Source organism: Homo sapiens, chromosome 5 (genome assembly GCF_000001405.40).
Source record: "Homo sapiens chromosome 5, GRCh38.p14 Primary Assembly".
Taxonomy (NCBI): domain Eukaryota; kingdom Metazoa; phylum Chordata; class Mammalia; order Primates; family Hominidae; genus Homo; species Homo sapiens.
The window spans coordinates 7,877,916-7,902,139 of NC_000005.10; the positions used below are offsets into that span (position 1 = coordinate 7,877,916).

A 24,224-nucleotide genomic window follows, 5' to 3' on the forward strand; every position below is an offset into this window, starting at 1 on the left:
TTGTTTTTCGTTTGTTTTTACTGTCCAGTTTAGAACTTGTGGTTGAGCCGTGGATTGCTGGACTCTGGCCAGCCCTCAGAAAGCATTTTAGGTCAAGCAGAGGACAAGAGGAGATAAGTGGCGCACTCCCGGTGGCATCACCTGCATCCTCGAGGACAGACCTTGTGAAGTCAGAGCTGCTACACATTGAATCTCAAGTCGAGCTTCTGAGATTCGATGATTCAGGAAGAAAGGATTCTGAGGTTTTGAAGCAAAATGCAGTGAACAGCAACCAATCCAATGTTGTAATTGAAGACTTTGAGTCCTCACTTACCCGTTCGGTACCCCCACTCTCACAAGCCTCTCTGAATATTCCTGGTTTACCCCCAGAATATTTACAGGTACATCTGCAGGAGTCTCTTGGCCAGGTAAGGAAGTTTTTCTTTATGCTATAGATGCTATTTAATCATGGATGTTTGCTTTGGGCTTTTAAATTATTATTACATTAGAAGAGAGGTCAACAAACTATGGCTTACTGGCCCAATGTGGCCCAGAGCCTTTCTTTTGTAAATAGATTTTACTGGAACACAGCCATGCCTATTCATTTAGGTAGTGTCTATGACAGCTTTTGAGCTGCAATAGCAGAGTTAGTGGTTACCACAGGGGCCTGCAATGCCTAAGGCATTTGGCCCCTTCCAGTAAAAGTTTTCCCACCCAGGTATTACAAAAGGTCTTGTATTATTACTTCTGTATTTGAAGAAGTAGATAAGAACTCAGTTTCATCATTATTTTGGAGAACTAACAACTTGGTTTCTCATTTTAGATGAGTCAAACAGAGATGAGTTGTGTGGGCAGTGAGTTGAGTATCACATTGCATAATAGCTAATTTCTCCCCACAGGCAGTGTATGGTACCCTGAAGTTTTTCTAACCTGCTTAAAATAAGTTTCCAGAGCAGGCAGTCTTTGAATGCAGGGCTAAGCCCTCTTTCTGTTGAGTGGCTGTTTGGAGTTCCACATGGACTTTTCTTACAAAAACCACACCCTTACTGCAGCTATTACCAGTTTTAATTTCTTGTTTTTTTTAATGAAGACAGATTTAGACATTTAAGAAATAATTTGGATGCAGCATCTTTCTTGTATATTAGCACTGTTTGTAAACACCTGGTATGATAGCAATTTTTTTTAGCATCTTTTATAATGTCTTTCTAAAGCTTTCATGTAAGTATGATTTTGTGTATAAACAACTATGGGCTATTGTTTTTGCACTTGTACTTCATTATTTTGTGAATTGTTTAAGTGAGATAATTGCAGTAAGTGTATCTCAGTCTGGTTTGGGAACAGACACAACTTATGCCTGGACTGGTGGGAGCAGAGTGCAGTGTTGCACCACAGACAGGATCAGTTCATGGCAGCGGGGATAGAGATTAATCATTAATCTGACTAGGAGTTTTAAATTAGCCGGAAGATCTGTTAAGAGTTTATGGGTTTTTTCCGGGAGGCGGAGGTTGCAGTGAGCCAAGATTGCGCCACTGCACTCCAGCCTGAGCGACAGAGTAAGACTCCGTCTCAAAAAAAAAAAAAAAAAAAAAAAGTTTCTGGGTTTTTTCTTAATAGAAAGTGTCATTAAATAGGCTTGAGTTGTTAATAATGTAGTTAAAAGATTTAACAAATCTGAAGTACTTAAGAGAGACAATATAAATATGAAATAATATACTGAGAGAGTAAAGAATTGGGAAAAAAAGAATGTTTTGTAGGGCATCCTCTTGGGACCATTGCCTTGAGGCACAGAGGGGTTGGAAGCAGGATTGGGCACAGTGAGAAGCTGAGCTGCGATGCAGTCTCAACAAAGGCCTCAGTCAGCTCCTCTCCATATGGTACCTTTCTGCCATGTGGAAGTATTACCTCTAATAACCAGAGGGTCTTCTGGGTTGTGTGGTAGAGCGGCAGGACCTGTTAACGAGCACTGTCACTTGGATCTGCTGTAGAGCCCTCTCCTGCTCTGGGCCCCACGCAAAGCTGGTGGCCTTTTCTGTCACCTGGTATTTGGGTCTCAGCAGTCCTCCCAGGTATGGAATGTGCTACCCACAGATCCTGAAGAGACTTAGCAGTGGTTCTGCTTCTCTCTAGAAGTGAGGTACAAGGTGCACTAGTGTGGCCTTCACTTGGGAGGGGATGTCCTGACGTGCACCAAACTGTTAGAACCCTAAAAATTGTGCTGGCACTGCAGGCCCTTTAATTGCATAGGGCATGGGTCTTACCAAAGACCGCACTGTCCTGGCTACTCCTCGTTGCTCATTCAGTCTGATAGCACGATGCCCCTGATAGAGTAGGCTAGTGTGGTGCTTTGCAGGTGTTCCACATTTATTCAGACTCTTATAACAGCAGGCAGGACTTATGATAGCCCTGGGGCATAATTGTAAATTTATACATTGTTCCAGCGCAAAGTGAACTGTTTCTGATCCTCTTTAGTGATAGGGTTGGGAAGGAGCACTTTGACTAAATCATTGTCCGTGTACCTGAGGCCATGCTAGTCTACTTTGTTAAGGAAAACCAGCTTGCACGGAGGTTACAGTGGACCTGTTTCTTGTTTGAGTTTCCAGTAGTTCAGTGTCATCCCCCAGGATTTATGTGGTTTTTGCAGTGGTCAAACTGGTGAATTAAATGGAGATACGATAGAGACCATCCCCTGTGTCCTCCAGCTTTTTAAGGATGTCATTTCTCTCAGGATGCTATTTTGTTTCTCTTGTTCTATCTTGGTGTTTAGGGAGGAGGATGGCGTCAAATTCAGAGACTTCTTCTTGGCCCTCCCCATGATGATAGATCTTAACGTCATAGGCCAATAATTCGGTGTTGCCCTGTGCCAGCTGCTGAGTGGCCACTGGAGGTCCTGGGCCAGGACGCCATTTACCGCCTGGCCCCCATGTGCCTTGCTGTCATAGATGAGCTATGCTGATGCTTTGGGTCCCTGGGTAACAACATTCATTTGAACCCCCTCTTAACAGACCCTGGAATGTTTGCACATTCCCCTTAGCCCAGTGTACATTTCCCCTTTGGGAGAAGGACTGCAGAAGCCATTGTCAAGTACAGTTTCTATAGTGTCTCACAGTCCCTCCTCCTAGGGACCTCTTCTCTCCTACAGTCAGTGGGTTGCAGGTCTGGAAACAGGGCAAAGGATCGTTTTTATTGGAGCAGCGGCCTACAGCTCCTTTTACATGCCTCCTTGATTTCTTTTCATTGTAAGGATTGATCCAGTGCCTTTGTGGGCTGCCCATTTTTTACATCTGTGTTCTGCCCTCCTCAATTTAGGACCTCAGCTGTGTTGTGTGCATTCTCTCCTAGCTCCTGTGGGGGCATAGTGCTCTGTCGTATACTTTCTTAGGGGTTAGTCCCTTACCTTCCTTAGCTAGCCCAGTGCTTTAGTGGCCGAGTGTGTCGCAACAACCCCAGTTATTGGTCTAGCAACCAGAAGAGGGGATGGGGTGTGGTAGTGGGGGTACAGGCATGTGCTGTGGGCAGAGGTCCTTACACCATCCAGATGCGAGAAGGGAGTTCTTACTCTTCATGGGAGGGACTGGCCACATCTGCAGGCTCAAAGAGTTCAAGGGAATCTGGGTAGGAAGATTTTTAAGGGAATCTGGGTAGTCAAGATTTTTAAGGCGTTCTGGGTAGTCAAGATTTTTAAGGGAATCTGAGTATTCAAGATTTTTTTTCCCAGTTAGTCCTTGGCTTTCTCTGCCTTCACTGTCATGGGCTGCATGAGATGACTGTGTCTTTCTAAGCTCCTGAGGATGTCCCCTGGCTTAGTTCTATTTTAGTTTTACTTAGTTCTTAATTGGTGATTTGTCCTTTAAGCTTTTTGCATTTTTTTTCAAGTGCGAGTGAATTTTAGCAGTAGCCCCCCAAGTCCCACCAGTCTTCTCTTCTGCTGTTTCTCTCTAGTTCTCAAGCACCTGATGGATCTTGCAAGGTGATGCATTTGCTTCCACTGGCACTCCCTGCTACTTACGGTTGCATTGTTGCTGTGTGCCAGTGCCGTCTGTCTGCTCTCTCACTGGTGTGGTGTTCTCATTGTCAAACAGGCAGATGATCCAGCTCTAGACTCCATTTTAGCATCTTTCCCAGGCTACCCTGGCACTGACTGTCACAGGCTGGTTCCCAGGAGTCAAACAATGAGATGTTTTTAGGGCATCCTCTTGACAGCATCATCTTTGGGCATGGAGGGATGGAAGCAGGATTGGGCACAGTGAGAAGCTGAGCTGCTGTGCAGTCTCAGCAAAGGCCTCAGCCAATCCCACAGGGTTCTCTGGAGCTGGTGGGTCTTCAGAGTTGTCCTGAGTTGGAACGAAGAGGCTGGACCTTTGTAGTCTTTGATGAGACATTGGATGTGGGTTGCCTCTGAAAGGAGGTGTGGGCAGGGGTAAGGTGTGACCTAAGAATGCTGAAGTGTTTCTTTCAGGTGGCAGAGGTAGTCATTGTCAGCACTGCCATAGCCTTTGCAGAAGGCAGTCTTCTTAGGGGTACATCTCAGTACCCCCACATTATGGCTCCCAGACACCCAGAACTGACCTTCATCCCAGCTTTCCCATATAGCCACTTATCCACAGTTAATTGACTAGTACTGTTAAAATATTTTGTTTTTAAACTTAGGAATATAGAAAAGGAGTAGGGAGTATTATAAAGAACTGGGATTTTTTGCAGTTTTCCAAGACCTACTGTGTCCAGTACAGGAGCTGCTGGCCACATATAGCTACTCAAATTTAAATTAATGAACATTTGTTAAGATTAATAATTAGTTTCTTAGTGACACTACCTGTATTTCACCAGCCATATTTCAGCAGCCATATGAACAGCATTGCCCCACACTAGGGGGTTCCTGTGACCATCTACACACATGTTGCATTCTTAAACATCTGTCACATTCTTCAAGATCTCTCCTTCCTGAAACATTTGCAGACATTCTGTTTCCCTTGACGTAGTTTATTAGGAAAACTACTAGATCTTTACATGAACATGCCAGTATTTTTATTTTCTATTTGTATTTCAGAAATTCTAATGTCTAATAGATAAAGCGTTTGAGATAGAATTGAGCTTCTCTTCTGAAAAGCTAGCTCCATATATCTGCCCTCATTCATTTACCTTGGAAATGAATACTGAGTAGCCAGGAAGTTTTGTAAGCCCCTGTGGATCTTGCGTAGTCACTAATTGAAAGAAGGGTATAATTGAAAATTGCACTTACGTTTTGTCACATTTGTTTTTCAAGGAGGAAAGCCAAGTATCTGTGACTTCAGCAGATCCAGTTTTTCAAGTGCCAATTTCAAAGGCAGTTCAACTTACTACGAATGATGCCATAAAAACCACTCTGCTGGTAGAATTGGACATTTCAGTAAGTTGCAAAATTTATTTCTCAGCACAGTAATATTGTCAGGATGTGCAGAAAGAGTTGTGTGGTGCTTGGTTATATATGCTGAGTGGTGTGCTGCTTGGTTACATATGCTGAGTTGTGTGCGGCTTGGTTACATGTGCTGAGTTGTGTGGTGCTTGGTTACATATGCTGAGTTGTGTGGTGCTTGGTTACATATGCTGAGTTGTGTGGTGCTTGGTTACATATGCTGAGTTGTGTGGTGCTTGGTTACATATGCTGAGTTGTGTGGTGCTTGGTTACATATGCTGAGTTGTGTGGTGCTTGGTTATGTATGCTGAGTTGTGTGGTGCTTGGTTATACATGCTCAGAAGAATGAGAGGTCTCTGACAGGACATCTTGCCATTTTATTCCTGACCCATCATTTTTTTCTCTCTTCTATTTTCACACCTATTTTCTTTCCACTTCAGGGAAGGACTAGGGAAGAATGGCTGGAGGAGATTCAGCCTGAGAGGAAGATGCTGGCTTACTCAATAAGCCATGAAAGAATAATGGGATCAGAACAGCATTTTATATATAAGAGGCCCAGGAAAGGAAGCTGTCCACTAAGGTCAGCCAGGAAGTTAGAAATAGAGCCTAAGGTCAAACGAGGTGGCTCTCGCCTATAATCCCAGCACTTTGGGAGGCTGAAGGCGGTCACTTGAACCCAGGAGTTCCTGGGTAACATGGCAAGACCTTGTCTCTACAAAAAAATACAATAAGTAGCTGGGCATGGTGGTGTGTACCGATGGTCCCAGCTACTTGGGAGGCTGAGGTGGGAGGACTGCTTGAGCCTGGGAGGTTGAGACTACAGTGGGCTGTAATTGTGCCACTGCACTCCAGCCTGGGTGACAGAGTGAGACCCTGCCTCAATTTTTTTAAAAAAAGAAAAGAAATAGAACCCAGACAGGCAGGTTAGGGTTAATTCCTCAGAGCAGTGGTTTTGATTTCTTGAGAATCTGGAAAAAATTATGGACTCTCCCAAAAAATGATTACACTTGTCCCTTAGTATCTTCGAAGGATTTGTCCCAGGACCCCTTTCAGATACCCAAATCCTCAAAGCTCAAGTCCCTTATGTAAAATGTTACAGTATTTGTATATAATCTATGCACATCCTCCCCTACACTTTAAGTCATCTGTAGATTACTTACAGTATCTAACACCACGTAAGTAGTTGCTATACTGTATTTTTAAGTTTACATTATTTTTATTGTTATTTTTTATTGTTTTTTTCCGTCCCAAATATTTTCCATTCAGGTTTGGTTGATTCTGAGGGTGGAGAACCTGAGGATATGGAGGGCCAACTGTATATAGAAACATTTACGTACAGTTTTAGTCTGAGATGTGCCTCGATGCACCCCCTCCATGGGCCCCCTTCCTACCCTCCACACCCTGCTGGAATCCATTGACCTTAGGTTAAGAAACTGACTGATAATCCTAAAATAAGTGTTTGAGTACCTCTTCAAAGTCATTTAGCTCAACCGTTTATTTTATGAAAGTCTTGAGAGGTTAAGTGGGTTATTCTTTCAGAAAAGCAAGGGCACATTAAGGCTGTTGGTGTAGATTTAATCAAACTTCCTAACAGAAAAAAATACAATGTGTCAAAACTAGATGGTTTTGCATCCATAAATATTAATACTATGTACACCAAAATATTTTTTATTCTGGTATTTTACATTTTTGTCATAAAGAGGCAAGGGTTGGTCTGTGCTTAGTCCAGTCTCTCTCCCTTGCTGGCAAGAAATGTGAGCTTGTGTCATTGTGAGAGGCTCCTCCCCAGAGCCCTGGCCTGCATCTGTATCACTCTGGGGCTTAGAGGCAATGGGCCTAGTAATAGACTTGACTTGGGAAGTGGTGACTTTTTCAGCCCATGTTTGCTCACAACCAGTATCGAGCCAGATAGTGTAATGTTTTATACTTAAGGAAATAAAGTACCCTTTCCTGTCCCCTAAAGGAAAAGAGTAAAGTAAGGAGAAGAAAATTGAAAACCAATGCATTTGACCATAATTAGTTTCTTTTGGTCATAATGTATGTTTTCGTGTGTGTGTGCATGTATGTTTTTGTAAGAGGGATTTTTATATTTACATGGGTTATTGAAAACACCATAGGACCTTACTTTGTAGAGAACAAGGAAGGTCTGACTTCCATTCTTTAAGTATGATAAAAGGCAAAACACTGGGTAACTACCAGATTTCGTTTTAATAGTAACTGCTAATAATGAAAGTATGTTTATTTGGTTAGTTGGGCTTATTTTTTAAAACAATTGTGTGTTTTTTTTTTTGAAATTCTATTTTCTGAGTTCACATATTAAAATCATAATATTGAAAACTATATTTTTGTTACCCTACAGCTTAAACTATGTAACACGTATAATGTATTTTTTTTTTTTCATTTTGGCTCTTCTCTAGAATACAGACTTTTCCTATCAGCCTGGAGATGCCTTCAGCGTGATCTGCCCTAACAGTGATTCTGAGGTACAAAGCCTACTCCAAAGACTGCAGCTTGAAGATAAAAGAGAGCACTGCGTCCTTTTGAAAATAAAGGCAGACACAAAGAAGAAAGGTAACAGCCCTGATGCTGTGACGTTGGGGTGTTGTGGGCCAGTGGACTGGAGCTGATGGTGAGAGTGTGGCTCTAAGGTTCAGGGTCCTGTGTGTTGGCCGCACAGATGCCTGGGGCTCAGCTGCGCATCAAGGTCTGGGAACACAGGCATACGCTGGTATTGGTAGTTTCTTAACTTTCATGTTAATTGCACTGAATAAGAAGATAATGGATGTTCTAATTATTGGACATTTGTGGACATGAAAACTGAGTGTAAATGTAGTTTTTGAGAAGCATTGGCCTAGGTTATTTTTAAAAATTCTTTTCCTATTATGTTTACTTCTCATAGTATGTTTGTTTTTGCTCATTTATTATATAAAATAATTGCTTTTTCCATAATTAAGAGAAGTTATTTATTTTTCAAAATATAAATATATTATTTACTTAGAATCTTGAAGTAGTCCTAAATTGATTTTTTGAGAAGAATAATGCTAATGGAGTACTGCTGTCTTTTTAGCTTTCATTTCCTTAATTTTAAATAATTTTCCTTTCTTTTATTTGGCCTATCTTGAATTTATAGTCTTCTTATGTTTTTGTAAGGTGGAGTTTTTTACTGTATTCATTTTGGGGAATTTTTTTGGCTGAATAAACATTGCCACAAGTCATGTTGCACTTTGATGCGCTGTAAAGTACTACAGTAATTGTGTTTTGGGGAGTGTGTAAAACATTTTATTCTTCATCTTCTATGTCATGAACCCCTTTCCCGTCTTTACCTGAAAAGGAGCTACCTTACCCCAGCATATACCTGCGGGATGTTCTCTCCAGTTCATTTTTACCTGGTGTCTTGAAATCCGAGCAATTCCTAAAAAGGTATTTTTTTCTGTCTTCTTCAGGTAACTATTTTAAAATATGCTTAGCTTTATTTAGGATTGATTAAACAAATTTAGAATATGCCCTTTGCAGTCTTAAAAAATGTGATCTTGATAGCATGTTTTTAATATTAGTTCCCAAGGGTGTGTGCTATCATCGTAACTATCATCTATGAATCTTTTTATGTTGTATTTGCATTTAAATTTTTGTTTTCTATTGAAATGAGGGCTTAAATAGGGCTTTTTCTTAGTCTAAATAGGGCTTTTTCTTTGTCTTACTTTTACTAGTTATTAACTACGTAGCACATTCCACAGTGATGGAGGTGACTGCAGTTGACCTTGTGTTACCCAGCTACACATTGCTGCTCCTTCTTTAATTGGTGACAGAAAGCTAATGAGAGCGTAGGATTCCCCCCAACCACCACTTGCCACTTCCTACAGTTGTTAAGATCTACTTTGTGTAATACTACATAACTATTTATTGCTGTAACAGAAAGCTTCAGGAAAAATGGAAGGGTTTTGGTAGGTAATAATCAATTATTATGTGAACTTGGAGGTAGAATAATCCACTAGATGTCAGTATTGTACCAGGAACTGTTTTTTTAAAACTACTTGTAACTGATTTCTTCTAACCAGCTCCCGGAAGTGGCCATTAATGGATACAATTTTTCAAATGTGCCTTGCCACACTTGTATTGTCAGTGAGCATAAAGAGTGTTGTAATTAGGCCGCCATCTCCCCAGTGTGGTTTTCGTGTCGTTTTATTAATGTGTTTATTGCATTTCTAGTCTTGGGTGAGTAAAGTACTTTAGAGAGAGGCTCAGCTCTCTAAATAAATATATGTATATTTATATATATATAGATTTATATATATATATATTCCATCTTCCTTTCCTGGTAATCAGCTCGAGATGTAATTTGAGTATTTAGAATTAATTTACTGTAATGAAAGCTTACCGATTAAGTCACAATTTTGGTTCAGCTCTACCCTTTTAAAATTTGTGTAAAGTGTGTGTGTATGTCTGTATATGTGTATATATATGTGTGTGTATATATGTGTGTGTATGTATATATTTGTGTGTGTGTGTGTGCATATATATATATATATATATATATATATATATATATATGGGTTTTTTCAAAAATAGTATGCTCATTGGAAAAATTCTGGATACAGAAATAACCCAGGAAACCAAAGTATTTTATAATCAAACCCTCTGAGTTAACACTTGAATTTTGTTTTCCTGAGGAAAATATGGGTATCCATATTATATGTGCTGTTCCATAACTTGCCTTTTTAACTTAAATCAAGAATCTGTATATTTCAGGATGGAAAGAGTTTTAATGGATACTATGGATACACCATTATTTGTTGATGTAATTATGGGCAATTGAGTCATTTTTGCTTTTTCACTATTAAAAAAGGCAAACTTTCTTGTACTGTATTAATTTTTGAACACTTACTTGAAGTATATTTGTAAAACAAATTCCTTGGAGTAGAATTGCTGTTTTAAAAATATTTACATTTTAAATTGTAGTAATGTTTGTCAGGTTTGTCATCTTGTTCTCCAAAAACAGTGCAGTATTTCCTGTTGTAGTACCATAAAGTTTTTGTAGTTCTAAAGTGAAAAAAGTATGTTAAAGGAAAAATTGTCACTGTTTTAGCTTTTAATTTAGGAGATTGTATTGGCTTTAGAATTTACAAACTGTTATTGGTAGATGTTTTTATTATCTTGCCAAAGTCTTTGCAGAGATTTGGGGCGTCCATTCAGCAGTGTTTCCTGAGTCGTTGTTTTTGGTCAATGCTGAGTTTGGCACTTGGAGGAACACGTGTAATTTGTTAGTGTCCAGGTATTTTAGACAGAGATTCTTCAGCCAAACCTTTGGAAACCTGTGACTCCTTTGGGAACAGTGATTTTGTCCTCCCTGTTAAGGAAGTCCAGGACACAATCATCTTGAGCCATGGAATTTAAAGTAGCAGTACCCATTAGCATTTCACATAACATTTGATGCAGATAATTACTGAAGTGCTTTGTTCCTAAAGAGCCCTTGAGAAATAAGCTATGTCTGCCTGTAATTAATAACTTGTAATTGCATTGAAATAAAAAATTCTTACTAGCAAGTTTGATGTTTTGTTCAGGAATTTAGACTTTGAGAATTGAGATTCAGAATTTTATTAGTTTTATTTATTTATTTATATTGTGGAATTTTTCTAACAGGTCAACATTAAAGCAAATGGTAAATTAAATTCCCTCCTCCTGACAATAGCTCCTAGTGGCTTTCTCATTTTTTCTTGGGTAATTGGGTGCATCCCTAGGCAGACATTTAACTGAATATTCTAATAGCTCTACCCACAAATTGTGTCACAATTTAAGGCGGGCTCCTTTTTGTAGGCATTTTTGCGAGCCCTTGTGGACTATACCAGTGACAGTGCTGAAAAGCGCAGGCTACAGGAGCTGTGCAGTAAACAAGGGGCAGCCGATTATAGCCGCTTTGTACGAGATGCCTGTGCCTGCTTGTTGGATCTCCTCCTCGCTTTCCCTTCTTGCCAGCCACCACTCAGTCTCCTGCTCGGTGAGTAGTCGCTTTCACAAGCACCTTGGTGGCTGTTCGTGCACTGGTAGGCGGGCCACCTTTCTGTAGTAAAGAAAATTTGCTGCTCTTGTCTTACCCTTTGTATCCTATGCCTAAAGAATATATCTAAATGAATGGTGGTGATTGGTAAGTAAACATCTTATATCTTGTCTTCAGGGTGCTGTGACATCTGTGTGCCCTTCCAGAAGTCACAGAATTCCCCTTCCAGACTTTTGGTTTTCTTTTTTTTCCTTCCAGCAGTGTCACTATCATTTTCTCTCTTAATAGAGTCAGTTGTTACTCTCTTTTTGGCTCAGAATTGAGCATCTTTTCTAATTTAACTTTTTTCAGAAAGGTTGTTTAGCTAAATGTCTAAAAATGAGCTTCCTATAAAATTTTCTTTTTCAAAGCTAACGAACATCATATTTAATTGAAAGAGGCTGATGCAGTCTGTGCTGTGTGCAGAATGCAGAAATGCCCCCATCTGAGCAAGTCCAGATCGAGGGTCCTTCAAGAGCAAAAGGGGACTGTGTCGTACCAGTGCAAATCAACATACTCATGGTACTGCCAGGCAGAGAACCATCATCCCATTTCAGATGAAGAGTAACCCATTTTTTTGCCCAGAGTGACTCTTCTAGTCCTCATACTCCAACAGAAGAGACCTCAGCATTGTCCCTGAGCAGTCGATGTCCTAGGACCTCTCTGTGGCTCTCAGGAAGGGATTGAAAATGCTTGCTAGGGGTGAAGACTAAGCGCTTTATAGGACTTCAAAGCCTTTATTACTTTCTTGTGCTTGTAACTTTGTCATCTCCTTTCCCATAGTGGTAAGTAGTTATGCCTTTAACATTTGCATTTTTCTTTGGTGACACCAAAATGTATATTGTCCTTTTTACTCTTGGGCCAGCAAGATCCTTTTCGATGCCCAGTACAATTAAAGGCACCCTTCTTTGCAAGTCAGGGCCTGATTTCTCCTCCTTTTTCTTAGTGTTTTTTCCACTTAGGACCTCCCCAAAATGCTAAGACCGTGTTGCTGAATGAGGCTGCTCTTCTCACCATCCTGTCCTCAGGCTGGCCCTCTCACCCTCTTCAGTGAAGTCTTCGAGAACCATCAGCAGGAATAGGATGACAGAACACAGGGTGGGGAGTTCTAAGTAGTATTAGAAAGTTCTCTTATCGCATACTAATTTATTTCAATTCTTTTCGTAGATTTTTTGTTACCTTTTAGAATGTTAGAATGTTTGTAACAATACCACATTACGTAGTTATATAAAAAAATTAAAGTCATTGGGACTTATAAAAAATTATATTATTTTCTAATTAAGAACAATTAAAATATCTAAAGCTTGATATTAAGTTGAACACCCTACTAAACCTTATTTTGATGTTTAAAACTCTACGCCATTATACATAGACCTTTTCATATTTTCAATTAAGTAACTGCTAAAAATAAAACATACCAAAACATAAAACATTTCAAAGTTTATTAGTGGATAGTTCAATATTTAAATACAGATTATTTAACCTGCTTTTGAAAGAATACCTACGTATTTTGAAATCACTGATTTTTTTTGATAAATTTTTAAAAACCAAACACTTTAATTATTTTAAATGTAAGATGGAAAATATTTCAAGCCTAAGCATTTTCAGTAATTCTTGAAAGAGTAGCCTTTAATCTTTTTGGGATCATGACTTTATTTTAAATCTGAAAACTGGGCACCTCCCTGCAGAAAACTGCGCACCTCCCTGCAGAAAACTGCACATATACCTAGTAAGGGTTTGCTGAGCTCCTCACCTCTGAAGCCAACTTATGGACCCATTCCTAGAAGCCTTTGCTTTTAAAATTCGCCTTTGGGTAGAAATACTGATTTAAGAGTAAGAAAATGCATCTTATCTGGTTTTTAACTTTAGGAGTTGAAAGAAAAAATAGTAATATTTTACTTGAACACAAAGTTCAAGTGCTTAACTATGATTTAAAACTAGAACATGATTTGAGTATTCTAAATAAGACATGGAATTTTTTTTTTTTTTTTTTTTTTTAGGTAAGGTTATTTTCAGTAGTAGTGAATTAATAATTGCTTGTTTTTATTTTTTTCTAGAACATCTTCCTAAACTTCAACCCAGACCATATTCGTGTGCAAGGTACTACTATTTATTCACGTAATATATAGCATTGTTTCTCCAAAATCTTAGACTCAGGCTTCCAGATCATTAGAGTTTACTAATTTATTCAGTGAAAACTTACCTGCTTTATGGAAGACAGTACCAGGCATAATAAAGCAGAAGAAGAATCATAGAGCTCCTGTCCTCTGGGACTTCATAGAATTTAACATCTTGGGTGGCTTCCCATGGCCCAGTACTATGTTTCCCCACTTAGGAGTCTCAGGCTCCTCCACATGCTTCCTGTGTCCGTGTGCCCAGCCACCTTCACTGAGTGGCAGCCGGAGGCAGGGGAGACAGAAAAGTTCCACTATAAAACATTTGATGAGTCCGGGCGTGGTGACTCACTCCTGTAATCCCAGCACTTTGGGAGGCCGAGGCGGGCGGATCATGAGGTCAGGAGATCAAGACCATCCTGGCTAACACGGTGAAACCCCGTCTCTACTAAAAATACAAAAAATTAGCCGGGCGTGGTGGCAGGCGCCTGTAGTCCCAGCTACTTGGGAGGCTGAGGTGGGAGAATGGCGTGAACCCGGGAGGCGGAGCTTGCAGTGAGCCAAGATCGAGCCACTGCACTCCAGCCTGGGCGACAGTGATACCCTGTCTCAAAAAAATAAAAAAAAAGAATATTTGATGAGCACTGGCTTATAGGATTCTCCCTGTGGCCTTCATTCCATTGCACAGCCTCTACCGTTTTCCCGTCTGGCTCTCTGTTTTGCCTTTCAGTAATAATACAAGAAGGTGCACCATTCTTTTGGTTGAAAGGGGAATTAAGAATGAACTCAAGTTCTTTCGCATTATTTACCGTGTAATGTGAAAAGAAATCTACTTTTGTAGGGATGTCTTTTAAAGATGTTTTTACTTTGAATTTTTAGTTTTCTCCTTTCTGGGTGTATACTTCAGTCACTTTCAAGTTTTATGATCTTACCAGTAGATAATGTATGGATATTTGTTAGAATTTATCCCCATTTCTTCACATCTTTATAATAAATATTGAGTGAATGAATCCTTTACATGAAGATCCTTAGGGCATATTAGATTTTATAAATATCATCTAGTCCTAGTGCAAGCAAATAAAATTGGAAACTTTCTTGAATAACAAAATGTAGGGTGTGAGAGTGTGAAGGTTGGGGGCAGTTTTTAATTACGTAATAATGGCTTTCCTCTGTGAGGATTTGGAAGGTAGATTAGAGCCTATAAGGAAATATTTCTAAACTGAATAAAAGGATTGGTTTGACCCATATGTGTAGTAGTACTGATATCGAGTTCAAAACTTGTCTGTGTATCTTTGCAGCTCAAGTTTATTTCACCCAGGAAAGCTCCATTTTGTCTTCAACATTGTGGAATTTCTGTCTACTGCCACAACAGAGGTTCTGCGGAAGGGAGTATGTACAGGCTGGCTGGCCTTGTTGGTTGCTTCAGTTCTTCAGCCAAACATACATGCATCCCATGAAGACAGCGGGAAAGCCCTGGCTCCTAAGGTAAGAAATTAGTACCTTAACCTCAGCATTGTTAACTCATACTCTTTGTTTCATTAGAAAAAACAGTGTTGTCTCACCCACATCATTCATTACTGTCATAAGAAAATTTATGCTGTTCTTGAATTTTAAAATCTCTATTGCAAGAGCAGAAAACTGTTTACTTCCATGTACTCTTTAACTAGTGTGTGTATTTTCTGAATGTATAAAGCATGAATTTTATATAGTACGGTCTTTGCTTGTCCTATTCATGGAAAAGAAGACCTTTTATGTTGATATTCTTGGTACATTGGCCTGGGGAGGGGTGGAGAACTGTCTAGGAAGTATTTAAGGGGGGTGATGAGAGACAGTCTCATTTTATGTTTAAGATGTATACTGCCTCTCAAATAAGTAGTTTTACATTGGGAGTCTGAGGGCAACTAAAGATTAATTTTATATTGTCCAATTTTGGCTAGTAGGGTCCCCGCATCCCTGTTTTTCTGCTTTTGTTATCTGTGGTGTCTGACATCTGAACTTGTGCCATTATTGAGAAGACATATGGCTGTAAATACTTTTACAACACCTAGGAGTAAAAGGTTATGTGATTTTCTCAACAGATTGTGGACACTTTACACTTGGACTCAGTGACATCTTTTTATGTTTTGATACGGCACTCAGCAGAATTTCGAGACCACGTGTGTAGGCAACAGTTTAAAGTTGTCCACAAGAATGGTTGAAATAAAGCAACATTTCAGGCTTTATCATGAAGTCCTCTTTCTTCATAGTAATGAAGAAATCAGTGATTCACTTGGAGTGTTGTCTTAGGAGAAGTTTGGTTTCTTTATTAGAGTTGAAAGGTTCATAGACCTCAATAGTGGGGATTAGGACTTCTTGGGATATACTTGAGAGGATAAGGGATGATTGCTGCTTGAAATTGCCGTTTAACTTGATGTTTTTCCAGTCTGCTGCCTGGAACAGAGAGATGCTTTATTGTGTTCTCTATACATCATGTATTCATTATACATCAAAATATTAGGAACCTTACAGAAACTTTCTTTTTTGAGAAGAAATATTATAGTACTGATATACAAGTATATGTCACTTGGTGATTGTATAAAGATAGCAGATGATCTCCAGAACATTAAAAACAATGTGTGTCCATCATGTATCGTAAACACTAAACATGGGTGCCTTTCACCTACTCCTCCTTTCCTCCCTCCCTCTCTTCGTCCTTCCTTCCCCATTTTAACAGATTTTTATTAACTATCCAATCTATATGCAGTAGAAGTGCAGATATGAAGGATATAATTTAAAACTATCTGAAATTACCTGTGCTTGTGTTGTGTTTTATTACAAATTATACAGAATGTTGACTTTTGCAAGACCTATCACCCACCCTGCCCTACTATGGCGGATAGTACAGTTATTCACAGATTAACCCTGCCACTGATGTTCAGCCTGGCTGTGTGAACAGAAGGACATCTGCCACATCTAAGCAGGAGCACTAAGCCTGTGGGCGTGGTGTAGCTTGGCTCTCTTCTTCCTATCTGCCATGATATTCTCTCCACATAGACCCTCAAGTGAAGCAGTCCCACAGCCTTCGAGGAAGAGAGCCCCAGAACGTAGAAAGTGTGCTGTTGTCACAGGATCTTTGTACATGTGTTTTTCTTTTCTGCCAGGAATATGCTCTGGCATGGCTAACTCCCTTGATTCAGATCGTGGTCAAAGGTCTCATTGTAGACATGGGCCTTCTTTGACATTGGTGTTTGAATTAGCAGCTCACTGCCACACCCATCATTTCCTTATCCTGTGTAATTTTGCTTCCTAAGACATTGGGAAGTCATTACCCATCATTCTGTGGATATATGTGATAATGTGTATGTTTATTTTCTTTTCCTTCCACTAGAATGTAAGTTCCGTAAAGACAGGGGCGTTGTTTTGTTCATTTCTGTATCCTTAATGCCTGTCATGGTGAATACTTTCAGTAAATCTGTTAAATGAATGAAGCAAAGAAGGCTAATGTAATGTTAACTAGTTTCATTCCCAAGTAAGAGCAGTAATGAGACACAGCTTTGCCATTCCTTCATTTAAAAGGTATGGTGTTCAGGCTCGTCATTACTTCCTACAGTCGTCCTTGAGTTAAAAGTTAAAATGTATACAGTTACACCACCATGCAAGGTGGAGGGGAATCCTGTCATTCTTAAATCTTGGTATCAGTATGACTTTTGCATATGACAGTGAAACTGGAAGTGAAACATACTCAGATTGATTCAGAAATATCTTTTGAAATTTTAACAAAAAGATTTTGATAATTATATGATTTGTTTAGTTATAACAAAAATAATTCTGGGTAATATTGGACCCAGAATAGCAAATACAGCACCATTATCTGGAATATTTGGAGCAGCCCCTCAATTTCTTTTTAAGGTGCCTGACTTTTATTTAAAATTTTTCAACCTCATCGTGATGCTAATCTTTATTGTCTTCATATTTAGGGTACATTTCTCCATAATATATGCTATTGTCTGCCCACCAGAAAGCAGATCTTATCCATAGACCAAGAAACATGATTTGATTATCTATTTAGAGTTCTACCTCAAAGACACCATGCCTATCATTTTTTACAACATTTTTTATTTGAATAGAAAAGAAAAATTTGCAAGACAAACTTCTTTCTGTAGTGACAAATGTGCTCATGGTTTCAATAAAATCTGATGCCACTATTTAGTGATGTTTCTTTGATGGGAATTTTCCCTTTCTGATTTGTTTAGCAAAGATCATCTTGATTATATACTCTTGCCTAGGTTTTCTTTCATACTTACCACATTTGATGTAATATTTCAGATATCCATCTCTCCTCGAACAACAAATTCTTTCCACTTACCAGATGACCCCTCAATCCCCATCATAATGGTGGGTCCAGGAACCGGCATAGCCCCGTTTATTGGGTTCCTACAACATAGGTATGTTCTTTTTTTGGCTAATGGGAAAATGTATTCCTGAGTAACCGTTTTTGTTTCTTTAGTCATTTTGAGGATAATTGGACTTTGTAAAATTTTTATTTAAAAAATTATTATTCAATGTGCGATAACATAATTTGTCACCATGGGAAAAGTAAACACAATGTTGTAGAGATTGTGCTTTGTACTAGAACTTCCTTTTTTACTGTGGCACTTTTAGTTTTTTCTTTTCTCAGCTACACTGGTTTGTAGCATATGTGGTTGGGGACAAATATTGGGCATACCTTCGTACTGTGATGATATACAGCTGTTGTATCTATCCCTTAATTGGATACAATTGGTAGTGACAGAGATCCAATTTTAGTAAAAGTTTCAACATTAAACTCAAACATCAGTAATTTTCAACAGAATGTTAATAAGTTTAACTTCATATCAGAACAGAAGTATTTGATATGAAATAAGTAAAATAAAATTGTACTTCTGTTTATATTTGTGAAGTAATGAGCAAGTCTTAGATACTATTTGTCAGATAGTAGAGTCCTGTCCTTCGGACAGTTATTTTATTTCGTTTTAATTTTTTCCTTAAGCAAAAGCATAATCACAGATGTCTCTGTCTCATCAGTGTGTTCACCATTTCGTAGACACTTTACACATTCTGCCTTTAACAGCCCTGAGCCACTTTTCCATAGTACAAGTTCATTTATTCATAAAATTGCTATTAATGTTATTGAATGTAGAGCTCTCTCTAGATCTCACAGTGTGATACTTTGAATTGTCCTCATTTTGTGTATGTCGGATGTAGCTGCCTCTCCACACACTTGCCTAGTGTGGCATCTGCTCGAGTGGCCATGACAGCCTGTGGAGAGTAAAATGCTAATTAAATGACTGAATGTTCAAATGCAGAGATGGATTTTACAAATCCGTCTGAGTTTGTTGGTGGTAGTTCCTAATGAAAGAGATTGGTTTTACATATTCTTTATATCACACACCTAAACTTTTTTTTTTTCCACTTAGAGAGAAACTCCAAGAACAACACCCAGATGGAAATTTTGGAGCAATGTGGTTGTTTTTTGGCTGCAGGCATAAGGATAGGGATTATCTATTCAGGTATTGTACAATTCCAGTATTGTACTCAACCACTGAGTGTACAATTCTAATTCTCAGACTTTTTCAGCTTGACAACCTTTTAGTGATCCATTATATATTATATTTCAGAAAAGAGCTCAGACATTTCCTTAAGCATGGGATCTTAACTCATCTAAAGGTTTCCTTCTCAAGAGATGCTCCTGTTGGGGAGGAGGAAGCCCCAGCAAAGTATGTGCAAGACAACATCCAGCTTCATGGCCAGCAGGTGGCGAGAATCCTCCTCCAGGAGAACGGCCATATTTATGTGTGTGGGTGAGTCATTATCGTGCCTAAGTCGGGTAGGAGAGGGCCATCAGTGATGTCTGTAGAAGAAAAAAAGGACCGAGAAGCCAATAATCTAGATATGTAGGGATAAGACATTTGATTCTTAAGTACAGGAATAGAAATAACAGTTCTGAAATGATTTTGACATATTTAATAGCCCAGAGGTTGTTATTATCAGGGAAATAGTGGTGAAAGTTAATGCTTGCATTGTACATTCTTGGTACCATTTACTTACCTGTTTTTAGCCTCTGAAAATTACACTCATGTTACTACATTAATCATGTGACTTGAAATCTCCAGATTGATTTTGTTATATATAAGAATAGGTGATTTGTGCTGTTGTGAACTATTGATAAGTAAGAAAGAAAAAGTATGATTTTTGATGCTGAGAATGTGGATACTAGGATTCTTTTTCTGCTAGGCATAATTCTTGGTGATAAAGTTGAAACGTTCTGTGTTACTGAATTTGATCTACTTTCTGAGGCAAGATCTGTTACAGGAACCCATAATTGCCATAGAAAAATTGTTTAACGCTTATTTGCTTATTTTGATAAGACTCAAAAAATTTCTGCTAGTTAAAAAGGAGTTTTGAAGTAAGAAATTCACTTTTTCATCCAAACACATTCCTAGGATTTAACACATTCTCTAAGTCAGGTTCTTTTTTTTTTCAACTGTAATGTAGAAGACAAAATACTGGCATCGTGACCCAGAACATATGGATAAAGATAATTGAAACAAGTTTCATGAAACAAAGCAACGTTTTCTGTTTAGTTTTTATAACACATTCTGATCATTTCTCTTCCATTTTATTTAGTTTGCTTTAAAAGCTAGCTTTGGCTACTAAGTTAATTTCATGTCCTTTCAATAGATTTTGACTCCTAATTGAAAAACATTGCTTTAGGTCAATAAAGGGCAGAAATTCTAGACATTGTTTTGGTTTACATTTTCCTTCGCTTTTAATGAAGTATTTAATCTGCATTTTGTTTGGCGAGGACAGTGTCATCGGTGGTCAAATACAGGCTGGAGTTTTAGAGATGCACCTCTAAATAGTAGAGGCAGAGTTCATTGTACAGATCACAGATATCTGGTCATTGAGAACTTGGAGAATATCTTAAATGTCCAGACTCCTAAAACATTATTCCAGAAATAGCTCCTCCCAATCACTGGTGCTTTACTTTGTCACATTTGTGAAATGCACTTGGAAGCATTAATAGCAGTGGTCAGAGGGCTCAGAAGGAAACCCTGGGGCACTTGAACATTGATCGTCCGTCAGGGAAGCAGGAACAAAGTAGACAGAAGGAACAGCCACTGAAGAAGCAAAATTGTCCCAAAGCCAAGAGGGTGCTGTTTCAGAGAGGGAGCCTGTACTGCTGATGAGTCAAATGAGAAGACAGCGGAGCAGGATCTTGGGGTATAAGTTCCCTGAGAATAGTGGAGAGGAGAGCCTCTTGAGACAGGTGAGACAGACACCTCTCAAGAAATTTCACTGTGAGGGGCCAGGACATGTTCAGTTCCTAACATAGTAGAGTCTTGTCTGACACTTCGCTTCATTCAGCAAACACCTGAGTGCTGGCTAAGTGCTTGGGGCATATTCAGATGTCGATAGATACGAGGATATATTAGTTTTTCTGTTGAGGAATACCTGAGACTAAAGAAAAGAGATTTAATGGGCTCACGGTTTAGGCTGTAGAGGAAACATGGTGCCGGCACCTGCTTCTGGTGAAGACCCCAGGAAGCTTCCACTCTGACAGAAGGCAAAGGGGGAGCAGGCACCTCACACGGCAAGAGAGGGAGCAAGAGGCAGGGGGAGGTGCCACACACTCAAATAGCCAGATCTCTCAGGAACTCAGAGGGAGAACTCACTCATTACAGCGAGCATAACATCAAGCCATTCATGAGGCATCTGCCCCCATGACCCAGACGCCTCCCACCAAGCCCCACTTCTAACACTGGGAACCACATTTTAACATAAAGATTTGGAGAGGGCACACATCCAAACTGGATCAGAGGATAAGTGAGTTACACTTCCTACCCTCAAACAACTTACTCCCTGGTGAGAAAGCTACATATAAACAGACGTTTCTAACGTCGGAAGTGTTCCAGAGAGGACTGCAAGAGCACCCAGGAGGGGTACCGCCCCCTTCTTGTAAATTGAAGAGTTAAGATGTAGAAGCACTTCAAAAGGACCTGGCACATAGTAAGTCCTCAATAAAGGTGTCTGTTACTAACTGTATGTGTATAAAGACCTAGAAGTGTGCGAGAGATCTGGTTCCCTTCAGGAGCACGAGTCTACTGTGTGCTTTGAGAGTGGAGGGCAGGGAATGAGGGGTGAGCCAGCAGGTGGGTCGGAGCCAGGCAGGACCTCAGATGCTTCTCTGACACCTAGGAAATCCTTGGCCTACTGTCGGGACCTGGAGCCTGTGGAGGATTGGGAGCTGTAGAACCGTGTGGTCAGCTCTGTCTCCTAGAACAGTCACTGTAGGCAAAGGCCTGGCCTGGGCATGAGTGAGGCTGGGAGATCTGTGTGAGATGTTCTGAGAAGACGGAGGGAAGAACTATGGTGGTACAGTCAAAAGGAATTAGACTTGTGAATTAAGGAGGATTTACTAAAAATGCCTGTTTGTAAGCAGTCATCTTATTATTTTCTTTTCTAGAGATGCAAAGAATATGGCCAAGGATGTACATGATGCCCTTGTGCAAATAATAAGCAAAGAGGTTGGAGTTGAAAAACTAGAAGCAATGAAAACCCTGGCCACTTTAAAAGAAGAAAAACGCTACCTTCAGGATATTTGGTCATAAAACCAGAAATTAAAGAAAGAGGATTAAGCTTTTTTGACTGAAAGTACTAAAAGTCAGCTTTACTAGTGCCAAACCTTTAAATTTTCAAAAGAAAATTTTCTTTCAACATTTCTTGAAGGACATGGAGTGGAGATTGGATCATTTAACAATATAACAAAACTTCCTGATTTGATTTTACGTATCTTCTATCTACGCCCTTCCTGTGCCTGTGACTCTCCCCAAATTGCCCTGTTGCCTTGAGCTCTTCTGAGCTAAGGCAGCCTTCAGTCCCTATCAGCGCCTCCTTTACTTCCCAGAGAACTTCACAGAGACTCTGTCCTTCCATGCAAAGGCTTCCTGAAATAGGGAGACTGACTGAGTAGCTCATTCTTGTGACTTACAGTGCCAACATTTAAAAAAGTATGAAAATGATTTATTTTTATATGATGTATACCCATAAAGAATGCTCATATTAATGTACTTAAATTACACATGTAGAGCATATCTGTTATATGTTTATGTAACTATCAAATGGTTATTTGTTACTAAAGCTATATTTCTGATAAAAAATATTTTAGGATAATTGCCTACAGAGGGATTTATTTTTATGATGCTGGAAATATGAAATGTATTTTAAAATTTCACTCTGGCATATGATTTATCTATCACCATTACTTTTTTTTAAGTCACAATTTCAGAATTTTGGGACATTTGCATTCAATTTACAGGTACCAGTACGTACATATTTTAATAGAAAGATACAACCTTTTTATTTTCACTCCTTTTATTTCTGCTGCTTGGCACATTTTTGAGTTTTCCCACATTATTTGTCTCCATGATACCACTCAAGCAGTGTGCTGGACCTAAAATACTGACTTTAGTTAGTATCCTTGGATTTTTAGATTCCCAGTGTCTAATTCCCTGTTATAATTTGCACAAACAAAACAAAATGTTATGATAATCTTTCTCCACTGTTCTAATATATATTGTATTTTTATTTGATAGCTTGGGATTTAAAACATCTCTGTTGAAGGCTTTTGATCCTTTTGAGAAATAAAGATCTGAAAGAAATGGCATAATCTTAAAACTTGGTAAGTTTTTGTGGCTGTGTAATCTCTTCATTATTATATATTTTATAATAGAAACCAATCTAAAAATATGGGATAGGAAAATATACTAAGCAAGTACTATGTAACATACATAATTACATGTGTAAGTTGTATGTATCAGCCAAGATACACTTAAGGTGAAAACATTAAAAGAGACAAAAATATTCCTTATTAATAAGATACAACAATCAAGAACTTGTGTCCACCTACCAATACTGTCTATAATTACATGACCCAAAACTTTTATCTATAAAAAGAAACTGACAAATAGTCAATCATAACTTGGTGTTGGAAACTGACCTAAGCCAATTTGCTTATACACAGCATCCAAGTTATGTCTAGAAACTGCTGGATTATCTAAGTTTTAGGTGGGTATCGTTCAGCTGCTCCCCGCAGACTTACGAGCTAGTGATAGTGAAAATACATTTCATGATAAATGCTGCTGTACATACAGATATGTATTTATTATCTATTTACTAGTTATTTTTATTATTTATTATTATCTATGATTTATTAGTAATCAGGCACAAAACAGCTCTACTATCCTAGTTTCTAAGCCTAATGAAGTTCCAGCTGTCTCTTTAGGCACTCCACCACATCTCGCAGGAAGAGTTTACTCAAGGTGCGTCACAACGTGGATGTGACTGCTCCAGGGGCAAAATTTTGTCCTTACTGTGAACCATCCTCTAACCTAGTGACTGGACATGCTATTTCAGAGTTAAGCCTCAGGCATCACCCTAGGGCCTTGCTAGATAAAGTCTTTCACCTTGCTTATGTAGGAGTAGGGAGTAGTTAGCAGTGAGGGACCTTTTCTAACCTGCTATTCTAACAAGCCACTGTAGCGCTCATTATTTTTAATAGCCAGTCTTCATACTGATCAGTGATAAAATTAACAAAAGAGCTTGTAGTAGGCAGTTCTGCAATGTGACATTTCTGATTAGAATGCTCACTGCATCTAGAGGGTTCCTTTCTGTGCTTCAGACTTATACAGTG

General features: G+C 39.0%; 1 protein-coding gene across 26 annotated transcripts in view; it reads left to right on the top strand.

Annotated features, from left to right (window-relative positions):
* The window catches only part of MTRR (5-methyltetrahydrofolate-homocysteine methyltransferase reductase), a 50,255-nt gene extending 27,057 nt beyond the window's left edge, over positions 1 to 23,198 (top strand). For 12 of the 26 annotated variants that reach the window (NR_134480.2, NR_134482.2, NR_157168.2 and 9 more), the window contains 11 exons: positions 29 to 407; positions 5,240 to 5,362; positions 7,786 to 7,939; positions 8,700 to 8,788; positions 11,180 to 11,360; positions 13,457 to 13,499; positions 14,812 to 14,998; positions 17,819 to 17,937; positions 18,949 to 19,041; positions 19,150 to 19,332; positions 21,999 to 23,198. Coding sequence is in view for 12 of the 26 variants with exons in the window: in XM_047417233.1 (XP_047273189.1) it covers positions 29 to 407; positions 5,240 to 5,362; positions 7,786 to 7,939; positions 8,700 to 8,788; positions 11,180 to 11,360; positions 13,457 to 13,499; positions 14,812 to 14,998; positions 17,819 to 17,937; positions 18,949 to 19,041; positions 19,150 to 19,332; positions 21,999 to 22,143 (1,696 nt within the window). In the remaining 14 variants the exon portion in view is untranslated. Of the gene's footprint in view, positions 1 to 28; positions 408 to 5,239; positions 5,363 to 5,808; positions 5,949 to 7,785; positions 7,940 to 8,699; positions 8,812 to 11,179; positions 11,361 to 12,345; positions 12,498 to 13,456; positions 13,500 to 14,811; positions 14,999 to 17,818; positions 17,938 to 18,948; positions 19,042 to 19,149; positions 19,333 to 21,998 lie in introns of those variants that run through there. The other 14 variants (NR_157178.2, NR_157173.2, NR_157171.2 and 11 more) reach the window with 10 other exon arrangements.